The 20,922-nt window shown below is 44.3% G+C and overlaps 1 protein-coding gene across 7 annotated transcripts in view, besides 1 other annotated feature; it reads right to left on the reverse strand.

Moving 5' to 3' along the window:
• ASTN2 (astrotactin 2) overlaps positions 1–20,922 on the reverse strand; it is a 991,946-nt gene that overhangs the window by 49,453 nt on the left and 921,571 nt on the right. For all 7 annotated transcript variants that reach the window (NM_014010.5, NM_001365069.1, NM_001365068.1 and 4 more), the window contains one exon: positions 14,795–14,936. In NM_014010.5, the coding sequence (NP_054729.3) occupies positions 14,795–14,936 (142 nt within the window). The remainder of the gene's footprint in view (positions 1–14,794; positions 14,937–20,922) is intronic.
• Positions 9,103–10,049: an enhancer, noted in NCBI's record as "H3K4me1 hESC enhancer chr9:119243946-119244892 (GRCh37/hg19 assembly coordinates)". NCBI's record gives its function as "activates a minimal SCP1, AML or CMV promoter by ChIP-STARR-seq in naive H9 embryonic stem cells {active_cell/tissue: H9 hESC(naive)}" and the evidence as "EXISTENCE:reporter gene assay evidence [ECO:0000049][PMID:30033119]".

A 20,922-nucleotide genomic window follows, 5' to 3' on the forward strand; every position in this document is an offset into this window, starting at 1 on the left:
AAGAATACACAAGTGCAGATTTTGGAGCTAGATAGCTTGTGTTAGAATCATGGTTCTGGCCAGGCGTGGTAGCTCATACCTGTAATCCCAGCACCTTGGGAGGCTGAGGCAGGCAGATCATTTGAGGTCAGGAGTTCAAGACCAGCCTGGCCGACATAGCAAAACCCAGTCTCTACTAAAAATACAAAAAAAAAAAAAATAGCCATGTTGGTGGTGGCGGCGGCGGAGGGGGCACACCTGTAATTCCAGCTACTCAGGAGGCTGAGGCAGGAGAATCGCTTGAACCCGGGAGGTGGAGTTTGCAGTGAGCTGAGATTGTGCCACTGCACTCCAGCCTGGGCAACAGAGCGAGACTCTGTCTTGGAAAAAAAAAAAAAAAAAGAATCATGGTTCTGCCATTTACTAATAAGATGACCTTGGGCAAACCATTAAGCCTTCCCATCTTAGTTTCCTTGCCTGTAAAATAGGGATAGTATCTACCTTAGAGGGTACCATATTATTAAGGTTCAAAGAGTTAGTGGACCAAAAGACTTTGCATAATGAATGGCATGTAATAGAGTTTGATAAATGGTACATGATGACAACGACTGGGAGGCAGGAACCATGTTCTTGGCTGATAGCTACACTGCATACATGACAGACTGTCTTCATTCATTCAACCTGTAATACCTATTATCGATCTTTGATGTTTGCTAAATTAAGTACCTACTAAGTGCCAGGCCATATGTTATGGATTTACAGGTAACTAAACCATGGTTTCTAAAACCTATTCTACTCTTAGATTACAGACAGTTTTCATTCTTTATGATAAAGAGAAACATTATAGGTTCAAGGAATAGTAGAATAAAAAGAGAGGGAGGAAAGGCATCTCTTGTTACGTCAGATGATGGGGGAAAACAATCCAAACTAGCCAGATCCCATGTCCAAAGGGCTTCTGGGAAATGCTCAGGAACAGAAAAACGTGAGTAACTGCACAGTGGGCAGGACAATTAGCCAAGCATGAGTCCCCTTCAAGGTCATCATTTCAGTTGGCAGATAAAGACCTATTCAAGGCCAGGTGTGGTGGCTCATGCCTGTAATCCCAGCACTTTGGGAGGCCAAGGCAGACGGATCACCTGACGTCAGGAGTTCGAGACCAGCCCAGCTGGGCCAACATGGCAAAATGCCGTCTCTACTAAAAATACAAAAATTAGCTGGGCGTGTTGGTGGGCACCTGTAACCCAGCTACTCGGGAGGCTGAGGCAGGAGAATCGCTTGAACCCAGGAAGCGGAGGTTGCAGTGGGCTGAGATCGCACCACTGCACTCTAGTCTGGGCAACAGAGCAAGACTCTATCTCAAAAAAAAAAAAAGACCTACTCAAGAAAGATCTTATATGTACTTGGTATGTGTTTAATATTGTTCTGGACACCCTATGCTTGGGAGCTCTGCATGTGTATTTGTTTCACAACAAAATTCTAACATGGAAAATGGCAATACCCTCACTGTACAGATATAGAAATTGAGACCCAGGAGAAATAAGCATCTTGTACAGCCAGAAACTGTCTGAGATTTGAAATGACCCTAGAATAGTCTGACTCAAGACCCCATGCTCGTAGACTCTCAGATACCCAAGAGGATCGGGGCAGATGGGTGCTTGAATCTAGTACCAGAGAGCAGCAGGTAGGCTATAACGGAGGTGAAGAGTCCTGGTTCAGCCCAGCTCTGCTCTGCCTGTCTGGGTGACCTGGGTCAAGCCCTATCTCCTCCCTGGGCTTTAGTTTTTCCCATAAAGAGAGAGGGTTTAGATCAGTGGTGTTTGCAGTCTCACTATCCTGTGATTCAAATATGAAAGTGGAATAGGGTTGTTGGTGGATGGGGGTCTGTCTTTGGAGGAAAGGAGAACAGAGCAGCAAGAAAAATGCCAGAAGTCTGGATTCCGTCTCACCTCTGACTCTCTACACATCATTAATGGTAATCCCTGCAGTCCACTAACACCTTTCCAGTGATGACTCAAGACTGCTCACAACCTCCTTCACAGATGGAGATGGGCATAGGGGGAAGGCAGCCCCTTCATGTGCAGTGATGGACCCACAGCCAAGATAATGAGAGCAGGGAAAAGTTAGGAAGCCTGGCCTCTAGCCTGGTTTCATTCCTAGAGTCTTAAATGATCAGAGTAGAAATGAACTTCTCTATCTGAGCCCCTCATTGCAATGAAAAAGAAACTGAGGATCAGAAAAATGAAGTTCTTTGCCCAAGGCCCCAGGTGGATGGACAGCAAAGCTGGGCATGCAGCCTAGGTGGGGCTTGTGATCCCACTCCAGAAGCCTCTCCCTATGTTGAACTAACTGGGTACTTTGTTCCTGACAAGGAACCCTAAAGTAGAAAGTGATGGTCACAGCCTACTGGTAAAAGACAGAAGTCAGAAGTCAGGATTCCCATGTATCATTCCTGGCTCTGCCTTGACTATGATGCCAGAGTCTCTTGGGGTCTCAGCTTCCTCATCTATACACTGAGAGAAGTGGCCTAGATAAGAGTTCCCAAATTAATGATCTGCTGGTTGTTACCTACAAAATTGGTTTATTTGGCCAATTTTAAATTGGTTGCCAGCATGTAATAATTAGGAGGTTTCACATAAACATCTAGATTTCTGGCTTGGAAGATGTATTAACACCAAATCAGCAGTCTCAAATGGTAACCAGCAGCTGGAACTAAGTATTCTCTGTGCCATGCCTAATTTACTGCAGTCCTCACTCCTCCCTATTATCAAGCATCTGGCCACAATGACTCATTGCCATCACTGGCAAGTTCCTCCTTACAAAGCATGGCTTAGAGTTTGCCTCATCCCTAACAGCTCCCTGCTGCCCTGAGCATGGGGCTCTCACTGCCCACCGAGACTTCCAGCCCACTGAAGGCCAGTAATAGAACATTTCCTGTAGTGATCCAAAATCAATCTGCCTTATAGCCTTGTACCACTGTCCTGCTCTCTGGAGTCACAGTGAACACATCTGTGCCCTGTACCCCTGTGCAGCTCTACAGAGGGTTGAAGACATTGGGTGCACCCTTTTGTGTCTTTTCTTAACTTGAATAAACATTCAAGGTCACTCAAGCGTTCTTCATGGTCATCATTTCAAGGGCCTCGGGGACCTGCTTCCTCTCCTCTAGGCATTGTTCAGATGCTTGGCCTTCCCCTTGCAAGTCAACTCTTTCCTGCAGCAATGAAGCTCATTCATCCCACCAACTCCCTGGAAGCTTCCCCATACTCCTCATGGAGCCCAACTTGGATGATGAGGTCCTCGCCTGCCTCCATAGCCCCAAATCTCCTACTTTCCCTGGCCTTCCACATTCCAGTTACACTCTCTGCTGCAGCGTTGTCTCTCGTCCCCCAGCCTGCTCACAGTCTGTCCTCTGTCCCAAATCCTCTTTTCCCTCATATTAGTTTCTTAGGGCTACCATTAAAAGGGCACCACAAATTTGGTGGCTTAAAACAACAGAAGTGTACTCTCTCAGAGTTCTAGAGGCTAGACGTGTGAAATCATGGCATCCGCAGGGCCATGCTTCCTCTGAAGGCTCTTGGAAAGAATCCTTCCTTGCCACTCTCAGCTTCGGATGGCCCGAGGTGTTCCTTGGCTTGAGGCGGCATCACTCTAATCTCAGCCTCTGTCTTCACATGCCTTCTTTGCTCTGTCTTCTCAGAGCGGCATCAGTCACTGAATTAAGGAATTAACTTAATCCAGTATTACCTCATCTTGATCCTTAAGTAAATACATCTGCAAAGATGATTTCCAAATAAAGCCCCATCCCAAGGTTTCAGGTAGATGTGAATTTTTCAAGGACACTGTTCAACCCACTGCAATCCATCCTCTCACTTCCTCAGAAGACTTGCAGCGGAGGGTTCCCCTGGCTGGGCTAGTGGCTCTTCCTTGGTGTCCCCACGGTCCCTGGAGCATGATATGCAGTGTCAGGTAACAGCCTGGTCCTTTCTCTGTATTCATCACCATGAATATGAGCTCCATGAGGGCAAATACTTTGGTTTGGTTAGTTCTGCAGCACAAGTGCCTACCTTACTGTGAGGCACCTCCTAGACAGTCAACAAATATGCGCTTTTCTTGAACACTGTGCACTGCAGTAAGTTATGAAAAATCTGTTTCCAGATGTTTCCTGAGACTGTGCTGTTCCATTTTGGCCCAGCACATTCGCTAATCAGAGCAACACTCGCTGGTCCCCAAATGTGTGTGGACTCCATCCTTCCCCCTTTTATCAATATCAAATGGCCCTCCTGGCTCTCAACTCAACTCAGCCTGTTCTCCAAACCATGGTCAGGGTTGTCACCACAAAACACAGGTTAAGATACATCCTGTCCCTCCTCCAGTGCCCTTCCTGGCTCCCCTCTGCCTGCAGGAGAAAGCCCAGCTCCCCTCCGCCTGCAGGAGAAAGCCCAGCTCCTCTGCTCAGTATTCAAGGCTTAGCCCTCCAGCGCAGCCTCAGCTCCCACCCCCTCCCCACTCCACAAGGTCACATGAGCAGTCTGTGCCCTGTCCCTCTGGAACCCTGGCTGGTGTCCCATTCCTGGATGGAATCTTGACGCAGTGTGAGGAAAGAAACAGCCTGCTTGAGAGTCCCCAGCAGGTTTTAGGAGCCTCACTGTCTGTCGGCTGAAAAACAGCGTTATTTTTCCTCTACGAGTCTCTCTTGGCTTGGGATGCACGGCTGTATTTGCTTCTGGCTTGAGGACAGCTATTCCCCTCTCCCAGGCCCCAACTGTGCACTTTGGAGAGGTCAGTACGACCTGATGTTAGATGGAATTGAGTCGCCAGGCTGCCGTACTTGCCCCCATCCCCTAACCAATTAGGACTGGACACCACAGCCAAGGGAAGTTCACATTCCACTCGAGTTTGGGGACATCAGTCACCCCCGTCCCTACTGAGCTCCGAGACCCTTGGCCACACCTAAATTGCCATTCAGCCCAGAATCAGATAATAGGCAGAAATCCTTGTACTTAGGCTGGTGTGGGCTGTTTGGGTGTCGGAGGAGGAAAGTGGAGAGAAAAATGCACAGGAGGATAAAAGAAGAGCGACCCTAGGGCTGAGCAAGAGAGGGACTGAGAAGTGATAAGAAAAGGAGAAAGAGACAGGGGTAGAGACACAGAGAGAGCAAGTAGAAGAGAGGTACATACAGACACAAAAAGACAGAGACAGGCCAGGCACGGTGGCTCACGCCTGTAATCCCAGTACTTTGGGAGACCAAGGCAGGTGGATGGCTTGAGCTCAGAAGTTCAAGACCAGCCTGGGCAACACAGTGAGATCCCTAATCAAAAAAGAAAAAAAAAAAAAATGAAAGAAAAGAAAAAGACAGAGAGAGATGGACAGGAAGCCAGGGTGACACGGAGAGGGAAGTAGTGTCCATGACCAAGAAAGAGAGAACAAGAAAGAAAAGAGAAGAAACAGAGGGCAGAGGGGGAAATAAAAGGCCAGGCAGAAACAGTTAAAAAAAGAACAAAAGGAGAAAGCAAAGGAGAGATGTTACAAATATGGGAGAGGAAGCAGGGAAACAGGAAGAAAGAGAGGGAGGGGGTAGGGAGGGAGAAAGGAAGGGAGGGAGGGATACAGGAAGGAAGGGAAGGAGGAGGGAAGGGGAGGGAGAAAGGAAGGAAGGAAAGAAGGAAAGGGAGGGGTAGTGGGGGAGTAAGGGGGGAGGGAGGGAGGGAGGGAGGGAAGGAAGGAAGGAAGGAAGGAAGGAAGAGAGCCAGGGAAGAAAATGAAGAATGGAGGGAGGAAAGGAGGAATAAAATGAAATAAGGAAAGAAAAGTTCACAATGGGAAGAAAAAGCCAGAACAGAGCAGCACAAGAACCCTATCAAGCCTCTCCTGGATTCTTTCCCTGGTGTGTCCTGGATAAACCCTGGGCTGCAGCTCAGGCCTCTGGTCAGCATGGAAGGTTTCCTCTTTGCTCCCTTCTCATAGGAGCTGAAAGTCCCTTCAGGGTCCTATCTAGGATGTGGCCTGACAGGCCCACTGAGCAGGTTGGGTCACTGATGCTAAGAGAAAGCAGAAATATCTGACCTTAAGCTGAATGAAATTCTTTCACCTGGACTAGACCCTTGCCTCCCCAGTTGCCAGGGGCTGGTGTCTGTCTTCTTGCCCCCATCATCTTTTGAAATGCACAGCCTCAGGCTGGGCGCAGTGGCTCACACATGTAATCCCAGCACTTTGGGAGGCCAAGACAGGTGGATCACGAGGTCAGGAGTTCGAACCAGCCTGGCCAATATGGTGAAACCCCATCTCTACTAAAAATACAAAAATTAGCTGGGCACAGTGGCACGTGCCTGTAGTCCCAGCTACTCAGGGGGCTGAAGCAGAAGAACCGCTTGAACCCGGGAGGCAGAGGTTGCAGTGAGCTGAGATTGCACTACTGCACTCCAGTCTGGGCGACAGAAGGAGACTGTGCCTCAAAAAAAAAAAAAAAAAAAAAAAAAAAGGGAAATGCACAGCCTCTGAATTCATGAAAAGTTCATTTGAGATGGCCCCTTTCAAACCCTCTTCTACAAATGGAGAAACGAAGACCTCCAAAGTGGAAGCCACTTGCCAAAGGCCCCATAGCTGCTAAGGGCCAGAGACAGGATGACCCTCAGCAATCTCACCTCCTATCATCTGGACAAGCACTTTTGAAAGCAAGCCCTGGAGGGCTCCTGATGACTTTCATGCTGTTTCCAGTAAATTCTGTGCTGATTTTTGGCATGAAGAAAGGAAATGAAGAGGGTAGGGTAGGAATGTAAATAAAGGGAAACATTGGGATTTCATCTAATATATAATTATAGTATCCATGGTGGTGGCCCTGGCTGCCTCTGTGATGTGCTTCCCAGGCTGTGCCCAGGAGAGGTGGTGTCCTGAGGGTGGTGGACAGGCCAGCAATGCTCCATCCAAGGCTCTCAGCCCCCTGGGCTTTTGGAATAGGATTGTTGGGCCAGGAGCCTGGACTTGCTTGCTGAGACACATGGGAGTCTGACAGTGCTGGGAAACAGCTCGGCAGATGAGAGCTGGGAAATCAAGGGCATCGCACAAATGACAATGGGAGTCCATCCCTAGGGAGGAGCAGGGGTCCTCATGCAGACCCCACATACAATTGTGTGTGTAGTGCTGTGAGGACTGCGGGGAAGGGACAAAGTTTGAAATTCAATGGTAGCCATGTAGCTTTTGTGTGACAACTAAAAGTGTGTTTTCCATATTGTTTCTAACCCATTTGGGCATGGATCTTTGTATAAAAGATCCCTGCCCACAGCTTCCACTCTGACCCCTGTCATTTCTATATGCCCAACTCTTCTCATAATTCGGTGTGGCAATTTTCAGTTCAGGCAGTGGAGATAAACTGGTTGGAAATCTGCCTCTACTTACTAGCTTTGTGGCGGTAGTCAAGTTACCTAACCTCTCTGTGCCTTAGTTGCCTTATCTGTTAGGTGAGAATAGTAGCAACTACCTTACAGAGTTGTTGTGAGGATTAGATTAAATAAGGTTTATAAGAAAGAAAGAAAAAGAGAGAGAGGGAGGGAAGCAAGGAAGGAAGGATGGGTGAAGAAAGGAAGGAAGGAAAGAAGGAAGGAAGAAAGGGAGGAAGTGGGAAAGGAAGGAAGGAAGGGAGGAAGGGAAAGGAAGGGAAGGAGGGAGAGAGGGAAGTGGAAAGAAGGAGGGAGCCAAGAGAGGAAAGCAGACAGAGAAAGATAGAAATAGAAACATAGAAACCTAGAGACAGATGTAGAGATACAGTACTGGACCACAGCCTGGCACATAGTGGGTGTCTCCTGAATATTTGGTGAGAAAGTGAGTAGGAAATTTTACATGAGTGAAGGGGAGAAGTCAGTGTCTACAGAATTTCCACATTGACTTGAAAATTTGTTCAAATAATTCGACAAAGATTTATTGGATTCTTAATTAGTGTCAGTTACTGTTCTAGGTACCAGGGATAGAGGATGAACAAGGCAGGCACAGACCTTGGTCCAATGTCCTTCTAGTGAGAAAAGATAGACAAAAACAAGTAACAGAGACTAAATCATTACAGTATTAGTGAGTACCATGGCTTTGTGTGTCTGTGTGCATGACAGGCAGGTAGATAAAAGTGGCAAAGGAAGATGTCTCTAAAGAGGCAACATCTAATCATGGACCTGAAGGAGAACAAGGAAACACACATGGGAAGAGTCAAGGGAAGGACATCCCAGGGAAAGAGAACAGTAGAGGCAAAGACCTTGAGGAAGGAAGAGACTGGCGCACTCTAGCAAGCGTGCCTGCAGAGTGGTGGGTAGGGGCAAGTGTGGGAGAAGAACGCCAACCTGCTGGAAGGCTGTGAACATATGGTGTCAGCAGAGGCCATCCCACGTGTCACTGCTTAGGTAATGTCTGTCATCACAAATAGTAGTCACAGTGGTTACTCCTCCTCCTGCTGCCATTTGGTAAGCACTGACAATGAGCTAGACATTATCTTGTCCTCTTTACATATTTTAGTTCATTGTATCCTCATAACCCTATGAAATAGATCCTATTATGATTCAGTTTTATAGATAAAAAACTGAAGCAGTCTGGGCATGGTTGCACATGCCTGTAATCTCAGCACTTTGGGAGGCTGAGGCAGGTAAATGGCTTGAGCTCGAGACCAGCCTGGGCAACATGGCAAAATCCCGTCTCTACAAAAGATACAAAAATTAGCTGGACATGATGGCACATGCCTGTAGTACCAGTTACTCAGGAGGCTGAGGTGGGAGGATGGCTTGAGCCTGGGAGATTGAGGCTGCAGTGAGCTGTGATTGCACCACTGCCCTCCAGAACCTCAGTGACAGAGCCAGACTCTGTCTCAAAAAAATCAAAATGAAACAAAAAATCTGAAACAGAGAGGTGAAGAAACTTGCCCAAGGCCACACAGTGGGTAAAAACCCACCTCTGTCTGATTTCATAGGCCTAATTTAAAATTATGTGCATGTGCTAGTAGTGGTAGGGGATGCAGATTCACAAAGTCTATTGCCTTTCCTGTTGCTGCTTTTTGAAAAACATAGAGTGGCACTGATAACCCTTCACACGTGTACACAATCTTATGAAAATGTTGAAGTGAATTTCTGTCTACTATCCAATTTAATTTGGGGGAGGTATGACAAATTATCTCCATTTTATGGATAAGACTGATTATCTCCATTTTAGGAATGAGAAGGATGAGGTGTGAAGTACCCCCACCTCCCATCTATAGGCTGTGATCTGAGTCTTCGGCCCCCAAGCCTAGTATTCTTTCCATTGCAAACAGTGTCATTTGCAGTTAGGAAGTTCTCTTCCACTCATACCTCACCAGGTGCTTTGAACAGCACATGGGAGGAGGGGAGGAGAGGAGCAGGTGGGCATTAAGAATCAGCTTGGGTATGAATCTGAGCTCTACTCCTTCTCATTATGTGACATTGGGGAAAATGATCACTCCCTTAAGCTCTAGCTTTCCCACCTGTGAAATGGGAGAGGCCAAAAATAACACTACCCGGCCGGGCACAGTGGCTCACGCCTGTAATCCCAGCACTTTGGGAGGCCGAGGCAGGCGGATCACAAGGTCAAGAGATCGAGACCATCCTGGCTAACACGGTGAAACCCTGTCTCTACTGAAAACACAAAATATTAGCCGGGCGTGGTGGCAGGCGCCTGTAGTCCCAGCTACTCAGGAGGCTGAGGCAGGAGAATGGCGTGAACCCGGGAGGTGGAGCTTGCAGTGAGCCAAGATTGCGCCCCTGCACTCCAGCCTGGGTGACAGAGCAAGACTCCGTCTCAAAACAAAACAAAACAAAACAAAAAAACACTACCCTATCTCTAGGTTTATCATGAGAATTGAATGAGATAGTACACATACCTTAGAATGGTTCCTGGCACATAGTGAATACTCAATAAAATATTATTACTAGCAGTATTATCCAGAAAGTCCTGGTGGCACTGGGCATCAGAACCTCTGTTTGGAGTCTCCATTCCTGCCTCAGTGTGCAAGCCTCCGGGCTCACTGAACTTAACCTTTCCATGTCACAAATAATACTAAGACCAGAGGAGGGGGAAGAACTGACCCAACGTACCACTGAGAGCAAATGTGAAACTTGCTGTCGGACTCCCAACCTCGGGCTTTTTTTCACAATGCCCTCCCTTCTCCGGGGCTTTGCTTTTTCTTCTACTCTTCCAACTCTACCCACCCCGCTAAGATAGAGCCTCTGGCCTAAGCCTCTGTTCCCACCATGGATGTTGGCACTTGGCTACAGTCCCCAGGCTCCCTTGGCATTCCTTTCATAGAGCTGAAGCCAGGGAGGTGAGGGCGGGTCTGGGGCAAGCCTCTGAATGTGTGGGAATGCATCCCCCACCCCAGGAATCAGGCCTGGCTGCTGCTGGCATGCTTGCTGAGGACCCTTTGGCAGCCTTCCACAATTAGAGAAAGGCAAGGCAGCCAAGACAAGACAGAGGCTAATTACCTTGGGTAATAGGAAATTGGAGAGCAGCTACAAGAAGGGTGTCTGGGCCTTTGGCCAGGCAAGGGCAGGGACCATGGATGCCCAGCCAGGCCTGAGCCATTGGCCCTGAGTGGAGACTCCTGCTCAGGGTCACCCCTCGATTCCAACAACCCACCCACGGCAGCAGGAGCTGGCCCTGCTGTCAGACCTTCCTGGGACCCACTCCCTCTGCTGCTTTTGTTTGTTTTCATTCAAAAGCAAAACAAATGAAATAAACAAGGAAATTCAATTTAAACAGGGCACGGGTGCTGATGTTTCTGTTTTGTTACACCAGGGTGAGCTTAGGACAGAAAATCAGCCTTGACTTTCACTCCTTCATTTGGTCTTACCCTGTGGCACTGTGTAAATTTACATGGATGGAGGGGCTACAGAAAAAATTTGCCTTCCTAGGTGGTGTGGAAAGAGGGAGTTGGGGTTGGAGTGGGGTCAGAGAGAGGGAGAGAGGCCAAAATTCAAGTAAAAAATAGGACCAAGAAACTGAGATACACTCATAGCAACAGAAATTAAAATAATGAATAAAAAGACAAAACAGGAATGGTAGGGAGAATGACAGACAGACAAAGACAGGAAGTCATATAGAAAATACTTACACAGAGAGGGAATAAAAGACAAAGAGAAAAAGGCAGAGACGCAGAGAGGCACAGTAGTGCAAAACAGATGTGAGAGAGGTAGAAAAGCTGGAAGGGCAGGAGCTCAGGAGGAGAGAGGGGATGAAAATAAATCCCATGACAGAACTCATGAGCTAGGATCTCATGCACCTTGATTTTAAAGATGCTGACACTGCAGAACAGGGAAGGAATCTGAACATTTAATCCAAGGTCCCAGAGGCAGAAGTAGTAGCAGGGCATGAGCCCAGATTCCCCAGTGGAGAGACTAGTCCTTCACTCTCCTGCCACCTGAATCCTTTAAAAGCATGGGTGCAGAATTTGGTGTCTGACTGTGTTTAACTAAAACTTGGTCCCTTCTGAGACCTCTCTCCTCTACATCAATCCTCTCCTCTCATTCCATTTCTCTCAAAAGGATTCTGGATGGTCGTTCCTTCCAAAGATAGTGGGACCCCAACTTGCCTGATAAGGACCAGTTCCTCCAGAGCTGTGCTTAGAAAAGACACTGATAACCAGCGACTGAGAAGAGTCAGGGGAGAAGAAGAAAGTGGCTAACACGTCCTGCAGGCTGCCTATATGCCAATAATTCAGGTAAGCCTTGTTTGTGGAGTTTTCAAAGTCAACTCTCTTCCCTACAACCCTTTGAGATAGGGACAATCACCAGCCTCCTTTTCCAGAGGTAGAAATTGTCTCATAGAGCAGTGAAAAACCTGCCTCGGGGCAGGTTATGAGCATGAGGCAGTATCAGGGTTCACACCCAGCCCTGCGTGTCCCCAAGGCCTGTGCTATTTCTACTGCCGCACACAGTCTTCTTGGCTCAAGAGGAAGACGAATTTGGGTAAAAAATGAGCAAGCAAAAAATGAGAATCCCCAAGAACTGACACTGGAACTATTTTAAAACTCCAGACCGAGCTGGTCAGACTCCATGGGAGGAGAGCCGCCAATGGGATAAGAGACTGTTCCAAACAACACCCTGGTTCCTGGTCAGAGCGGCCCGGATCCCAGGGCCATTAACATCATCCATTTCAAAAATACATAAATAAAATAGAGAAGTGTTCCGAGTTAGAGATGACAAGCTCCTGACAAGCACATTTCCAGGACAGAGGAAGAAAGAATGTTCCATATTTTAAGAGGTGGAAAGGAGGGGTGGTGTCAGGCAGTGAGGAAAAGAAGGGGCAAAGGAAAGTGTTCATCACTTTTAAAGAATGTCAGCTGATTTGTCAGCTCTCAGTGTTAATTGCTTTCAGGATTCCATAAAACATTTCATTGCTGTCTACATAATGGGGCTGCAGGATTCCAGTCCAGCTGACATCAAGCCCCTACAGCGTCACCCAGAGACAGGGTTACTCCTTCTGTATTAGTGAATAGGAATCACCCGACAGGATTCTGTCGTTCCCTGTTAGATGCTGTATCTCCTATCATTTGGTGGATGGATGGGAGAAAGTTGAAATTATCACAAGGGCAACAACAGCAACATTGATAATAGCTAACACTTCTTAGGCTTCTACTGGAACCTCATCACTAGAGAGCTTTTGTCCATGATCCCTTCAAGTCCTCCTGGGGTCCCTGTGAGCCAAACACCACATTATCCACATTTTCAAAGAGAAGGAATTGGAGGCTCAGAGGGATGGGCAGCTCACTCAGCATCACAGAGCTGATAAAGGACAGGGTCAGGATTTGAATCCAGGTCTGTGTGCCTTCAGTCTATAACCCTAAGGAGGGGAGAAACCAGAAGCCATCTATCAGAAAATCTTTTGAAAATGCCATTCACTTTCTTCACAGAATTATAGTTTTCAGAGTTAGAGAGGACTTAATCGCTCTTAATGTAGTCACATACTTGTGTTTCACCTCACACATGCAGTTGTCCCAGAGCCCAAGGTGTTGGTGAGTGCTTACTGCTTAAGAGTGTGTAGAGTTGTGCTCTCAAAGTCAGTCCCCAGTCCCACCACTCACCATGAGGATGGTGGTCATTCTTTAAGGCCTAAGGTACATCTTAAAACCTTAGTAAAATTTGCCCAGATGTCCCACTGGAAGACGTGGAATTGCATATTTACTTTGAAGATTCCATTCCTAGAGCATTCACTGCCCCCCAGGTGACTTAATATAAAGCTTGGGTCCCAACATCTAAGAGATAGTCAGTTGCAGAGCCAGGGGCAGAAGACTCAATTGCCAGCTTTTGGTGATATTCTTGAGTTTGGTGACCCAACACATTGGTTGTTACCAAGGAGTGTGAATATCTCAAGTGTTCAAAAGGGTGAGGAAGAGGCAGGGAGAGGAAGGGGAAAATGGGTTGTGCTTTGAGGTAAGCAAGGTTCACAGATTGTGGAAGGACTAACACTTACTGAGCACATGCTTGGAGATACCAAGCCAGGGTGTTTCTTGTTTAATTATCACACAACTCTACAAGGTGGGTTTTATTATTTGTTTTACAAAGGCTTTATAAGAGACCTATAGGGGTAAAGCAACTTACCTAAAGTCACATAACTAAAAATGTCAAAGCCAGATTTGAATCCATAGTCTGTGGCCTTTCTTACAATTATTAGGTTATGTTATCTGAGGATAGGACTTCTGTCTTAGTCTCATTCATATCCACAGTGCTTAGCGCAGAACCAAAACACAAGAAATACTCAGCAAATGTCTAGTGAATAAGTAAATAAGTTATGAATTAGTAAATGAATATGTGAATGAAGTAATTGATGAATGAATAAATTAATGTAATGAAGGAATGTAAGAGCAGGTGAATAGATGGATGAAGAGACGAATGGATGGAGGGAAAGAGGGAAGAAGGGCAAGAGGGAGGGATAAATGGAAAATAGATGAATGTTTGGGTAGACAGATAGTTAAATGGATGAGTGAATGAATCCCTGAGTGTCTAAATACAGTAATAAATAAATGAGTTGAATAACTGGTGAATAAAGCTCAACTTCGTAACAACTTCAGCTTTCTAACTTGACAAGGGAGGTGAGCTATCATTCCATAATTGGGGTACATAAGGAGAGGTGGTCTATAAAGCTCTATGTTATAGCTTATGATGGTTGCATCTAGATCTAAAAACAACACTCATTGAGGTAGGAAATAAAAAGTAACAAATGAGCTCCTTTTCTCTTCCAGGCTAACAAATGAAGCTCAGAGTGACTGCCTCTTGCATCTCCAGAAGTTTGAATGCAGTGACTCCAATGAACTCTACAAAGGAGTGATAATTGCACTATTTTTAAAAGGCTGGCTGGATCTATTAATAAAAAAGTGTATATTGTATATATATATCAGCATATATATCTCAGTATGCGTATTTCAGTCTGTATGTGTCTATATATCAGATATACTAATATAATATTTAAAGAGAAGAAAGGATACAAGAGGTAAAAGATCACTAGGCAGAGATCCCTGACCCAACCATCCTTGATAACTTCATCTGTGCTCTTGAGTAAGCCCTCTTCTCTCTCTGAGCTACAGATTTCTAATCAGTAGAAGGAATGGTTTTAAATTTCTGGCCTCTCTGGGCACTTCAGGACTCACCTGGTGTGATTCTGTGATCCATTGTGGCATACTTCTCAAATGGACACTTCTAAACCTTAGAATCTCAAGTTGCACATACAGGCTAGCTAATAAAACATTTGGCTGGCCTGCACAGAATAACTCATGCCATTCCTCTTAGGCTTAAAATCATCCTGTCTGCCTCATGATCCCCACACACCCAACACATCTTACTTGTAGAGACCGTCGGGCTCCAGACACTTGAAGATGACTGAGTAGATACTGACTTCAGGGACCTCTCCATGGCTTCGACCAGCTGCTACACAAGATGTGCCCAGGCCAGAGAGTAAGTCATCAGCAAAACTCAGGAATTCTCCTGGAGGGAGAAAAAGAAAGATGAGCTCCCCAGCTCAGGCCATAGTGAGGAGACGTTTTTGCTGTCATCCAAACCTATCAAATGTCTTGATACCATTATCAAGAAAAATAATGGATAGAAAAAGCAAAAGATATGAAAATGAAACAGATTTGTATTTAGCCTTGATGACTCTTTGTTCATATTTATGCGCAATTTTTTCATCCATAAAGTGGAAACACTAATACCTACCTTTATAAGATTGTAGCAAGACTCAAATGAGGTAAATTATTGTGTAATAAAAATTTATGAAAAGGTAGCAAGGATATTATGCTTTTTTTTTTCTGTAACTATTCTGGCCTTGTCACTGTTATTCACTCCCTGTTAACTCCTTGAGCAAAGCTCTTCTCTCTTAGAATTGCATTTTCCTTCTTTGTATAATGAAGGAACTGGACTAAAGATGTAAAATAATTTTCATGTCAAATTGCCACTGTTAGGCATGGGTACTGGATTCATGGAGTGTTATAGTGAGATGGACAGAGACCAGCTAAGGAGTAAAGAGTTCTGTGATTGATTAGTGATGAAGGTCATGGAACCTTCACCATGTACAGGATGTACATGATGTCATGGAACGTTCACCATGTACAGGATGGAACAATGGGAGACTATGTGCCACATATTTGTGATCCTCAAACTCCATCACTTCTTTAATTTACTTTAAATCTAACCATTGGATTTTAAGAAGTAGTGGAAGTTTACTAGAAACAGAACTAATAAAGAAGTCTAGGAAGTAAAGAAAACTAGAAAGAATAACTGAACATCTAGACTCTTGGGATCTAGTCTTAGTTCTGTTGAGAATTTGCTGTATAGTCTTGGGCAACTAAATCCTCATTTTTTGTGCTTCAGTTTTCTCCTCTGCATGGTGAAGGTGCCAGAATCATTGTTAGGATTCTTGAAAAAAATAAAATAAAAATACAGATATGAACAAAAATTAAGTTATAAGGATAAACATCGCAGTACTATTTATACTAGCAAGAATGTAGAAACAGCTAAATGTCCAACTACATAGAAATGGCTATATCAATTGAGTTCAATGATGCAATAGGCTATTTTATAGTCATTAAAAATAATCTGTGAAAGAATATGAAAGGATATTTATGACATAATGTGAAGTTAAAAACAGGTTACACTATTACAAAATAATCTCATTTTTGTAGAAATTTTATATGCACATGCATTTAAAAACAGAAGGAAGAAAATAAAAACAAATGTTTAAGGTGGACTGTCTGGAGAGTGACATAATGGGCACTTTTTCTATCTTATTTTTGCTTATCTCTATTTTAAAAATTATCTTCAATAAACATATATTGCTTTTGTAACCCATAAAAATATCAATAAAAATTACTTAAAAATAGATAAAGTAAATGGGCCAGACTAAATGGCCTCTAAGTTCCCCTCTAATTCTAAAATTGGATGATCTAGGAAAAAAACTGACATATGAGGTATTTTTATACCGCACAGTATAAAATGATATGAGGCCTCTCAACTGTTGTTTTCTTCTTTTCTTCATGCCTGATAGAGAGTTCCTCAGAGCTCTATTCATGTACAGCCCCACTAATAAACCAGAAAAGGGTGCCAGCTCCATTACATCCTCTCTACCTGGGGTTAAGAACAAGACAATGTCATGAAACCATAAAAGAACAATAGTGTTGGCTCGTGTTTCAGAAGATTAGGACTCAGAGCAGCTTGGTGGTGCTTCTCTACCAAGGAACTGGTTGAGCAGAATATACAGATCACTTCCTGTTGGTCTTTCAAAGAAAAGTTTCATTCTTTATTTTATTTATTTATTTATTTTTTAATTTTAATTTTAATTTTTTTGAGACAGGGTCTCATTCTGTTGCCAAGTCTGGAGTGCAGTGGTGCAACCTCAGCTCATTGAAGCCTCTGCCCCGCAGGCTCAAGAGGTCCTCCCACCTCAGCTTCCCAAATAGCTGGTACTACAGGCATGCACCACCACACCCAGCTGACTTTTGTATTCTTTGTAGAGATGGGGTCTTACCCTGTTGCTCAGGCTGGTCTCAAACTACTGAGCCTTGGCCTCCCAAAGTGCTGAGATTATAGGCATGAGTCACTGTGCCTGGCCCAAAAGTTTCATTCTTAAAGAAAAACAGTTTTAAAAAGAAGAGTTTCATTCTTCGTCTCACAAGTGAATCTTGCAAGACTTATCTGACTGAATTGGCCAGATGGCCCTGGGATTCAGCCGAACAACAGTTCTAGAAGGTATTTGCTCCTTTAGTCCAATAGAGCAGGTCTTGATGGGTACTGTTTCTTGGTTTCTATTTTTCACGAAGACAATACATGGTTCATAGACTTGACGCGTAGATGCTAGATTTAGGATCAAGTGTCTAAATCAGGGTAGTGTTGGCAACAGGCAATTTCAGCTGCCACTGCAAGACAGACCTGAGACTGAGTACTAATTCCACCATGGGCTGCAAGTCCTTAAACTTCTCAATGTCTCCATTTTTCTTTTTGTTACAAGGAGTTAACAGCACTCTCATGCATTTGGAGTCTACAGAGTAAAGCCAAGGGTCTAGAAAGAAACAAAGATGCCTAGAACCAGAGGTTTGTCTGGAAAATGAAGATGTGAATGAATCTTTTATTCAGCATAATTTTGGCATCCCACATTTCTTCTGTAGGCCTCTTATATCAGTTTCTTTCATAGTACAACCAGAAACTAACAATATGTCCATTTCAAAAAATATCACAAATTCCAGAGCAATGTATGTGATAAAAAGTAAAAAAAAAAAAAAAAAAAAAAAAAAAAAAAGGGGGCATTGGTGGTGAGGGTGAGGGTAGGGGAGAGAAAAGACATGAGATTATTCACTAGATGGAGTGAGGGTCTTATTTCACTTGGGTACTCAGGATTCCAAGTCTGGCTACATGTGTTTGTTTTCTTTGAGCTTGGGTCCATGTCTGTCTGCTTTTCAATTTGTTTCCAGATAGCCAATGAGAGAGCTGGATCTTCATGAGTGTATTAGTCATTATCACATTGCTATGAAGAAATACTTGAGACTGGGTAACTCATAAAGAAAAGGGATTTAATTGACTCATGGTTCTGCATGGCTAGAGGGGCCTCAGGAAACTTACAATCATGGCGGAAGGCACCTCTTCACAGGGTGGCAGGAGAGAGAATGAGTGCCCAGGGAAGGGGGAAATAGCCCCTTATAAAATCATCAGATCTCATGAGAGCTCACTTACTATCACGAGAACAGCATGGGGTAACCACCCCCATAATCTAATCAACTCCCTCGAGGTCCCTCCCAGGACACATGGGGATTATGGGAACTACAATTCAAGATGAGATTTGGGTGAGGGTACAGCCAAACCATATCAATGAAGGAACTCAGTATGTTTGTGGCCTGTGTTAATTACCTGTCTTGAGATGAAAAGATGGCTGATATTCATTTTCAAATGGGAATAGCTTTCCAGATAGTTCCATGAATTTCAGAATAATTGGGACCATGGATACAAGCCCCATAAACATGTCAGGTCAGTAAGACTGGCATGATTCTATGTTCTGAAAAATTCTAAGGTTTGCAGGTTTAATTCAAGTGAAGGAACTGGCTCACCTGCAGTATATGCAGTATAACTAGTCATACCAAGATCATTATAAGGATATTTAGTGCCCAGTTCTATTCACAACTGTATGAATATAATCATCTTCAAATGAGAAAGTTAAAAGGAAGGCAACTGACATCTAGTACTTATTTTTCTTTTTTCCATTTAATCCTCACAGCAATCTAACAAGTTAGATTTTATCTTCCCCATGGTAAAGCTGAGGTTAATGTTGCAGTTAAAAAGGAAGATAGCTGAGATTAGAACCCCTATTTTTTCAGTTCCAAAGACATACCTTTTCTTTTATACTATGCTGCCTCCTAGAGAAAGTTTGAAAATGATAGTATTAGAAAGGGAGGTTTCTCAATGCTATTCAATTTGCAATTGAATTCCCGCCACACTCTTAGCTTGAGGAATGAGACAATAAAAGAAATGGTCCCTGACCTTCTACAGCTTGTAATCTGACAACAGGAAGGGTTGTTAAATACAAGAACAAACCTATAAAGTAAACTGTAAGATAGCTTTTTTTGGCACTGGATTTCAGAAGGTTTAAATGCAATTTAGATGAAGACAGGTGAATGAAGTAATCCCCCAGTGTTCTTCCTCACCCAGTGGAGGGGGTACTAAGAAAGGCATGGGGGCTTCTCTATGCACAAATGAAAATCAATGCAATTCAACACATGTATTTTAGTTCCACAATATAACATACTCTGCATCTGGCAACCATACAATTGAATGAGCAATAATATACAGAGCAGTGGTTAGGAGCCTGGGCTTTTAAGTTTACTCTGCCTAAGATTAAATCCTAGTACTCCACTTACTGCTTGTCTTGGACAAGCTCCTTAACTCTGTACATCTATATTCTTATATGTAAAATGAGGAGAATAATAGTATCTAACTTAGACAGTTGCAAACATCATATAAAATACTGTATACTGGAACACAGTAAGAGCTTAAAATGTGTATCAACTACTACTGTTTTTGTTTTTCTCTCTTTTTTTTTTTTTTGAGAAAAAGTCTTTCTCTATTGCCCAGGCTGGAGTGCAGTGGCATGATCTCAGCTCACTGCAACTTCCACCTCCCGGGTTCAAGCAACTCTCCTGCCTCAGCCTCCCGAGTAGCTGGGATTATAGGTGCCCACCACCATGCCTGGCTAATTTTTGTATTTTTAGTAGAGACAGGGTTTCACCATGTTGGCCATTCTGGTCTTGAACTCCTGACCTCAGGTGATCTGCCTGCTTCAGCCTCCCAAAGTGCTGGGATTACAGGCATGAGCCACTGTGAGAGCCTTGTTTTTCTTATTCTTGTTTTCAACATAACAGAGTAGAGATAAGGACTCTTAAAGATATCTTTTCATCCAAGCTTCTCTTTTTACAGGTGACAAAACTGAAGATCAGAGAAGGACAGTGACAGGTCCATGCCCATACACTCAACAGGAGGAGATTTGGAACAAAAACTTGGTGCCTTGACTCCTGGAGTCTCGGAGATAACTTGTACCAGCCAACTTATGAGATAAAATCACTGAGAATTTAAAATCTCTCAAAGCTAACACAGGAGCCCTTCCTCCCCAATTTCTGACCACTTTATTCAACATGAATGTGATATACAGTCCCTGGGCAATTACTACGCACCAGACACTGTGCTAGGTACATGGTTCCACCTTGCCATCTTCTTAAGCCTGGAATTTCTGAGAAAGACACAAAGTCTCCAAGAGATAGGAGTTTAGTACATTTCTAATATGTCATATATTTTAACAGTGGTTTGCAGATTATAACATAGAGAACTCCAGGGGCAAGGATGAACACTAACAGGAGAGAGATTGGGGCCAGTCTTCCATATACTCACACTAACCTTCAACTAGATCAACTCTAGTTTGATCTATTTTATATACTAGCGGTCCATGTTTTTATTTAGTTTTTTACAAAACTGTTTATAAAAGTTGGTTTTAAAGTTTTATTGCTTAAAGTGTTTGAATTCCAGAACTGTGCTGTATTCTCTGATAGAAATACAGAGGCTTGGGAATGCTACACCTTAATTCAAGGATTTGCAGCTACTCAGGGGCAGAATCCAGAATCAAGCCCCACTGTCTTGCATCTGAGCCCCATGCACCTTTCACTAGGCCACTCTACCTGGGAGGCCTCTGCTCCGTCCTCCCTGGTACCTTGTTAGGGGCTTATGGTAGAACCCTCCTAGAACCCAGGCTGCTGCTTCTGCCTCGCCCAAGTTCGTCCAAGTCTCTAACATTCTTTTCCTGTTTTTCTTTCCTTGAAAACAGATAGGGAGTTGGGAGTCGCTGTACAGGAATGTGCCTGTTCCCCATTACAGCTCTTCTGGGGCTGTAACCCGAGTGGGCTGGGGCCAGACCCCCACACATTTCTTTATCCACTCAGACTCT

Source organism: Homo sapiens, chromosome 9, assembly GCF_000001405.40.
Source record: "Homo sapiens chromosome 9, GRCh38.p14 Primary Assembly".
NCBI classification, from domain to species: domain Eukaryota; kingdom Metazoa; phylum Chordata; class Mammalia; order Primates; family Hominidae; genus Homo; species Homo sapiens.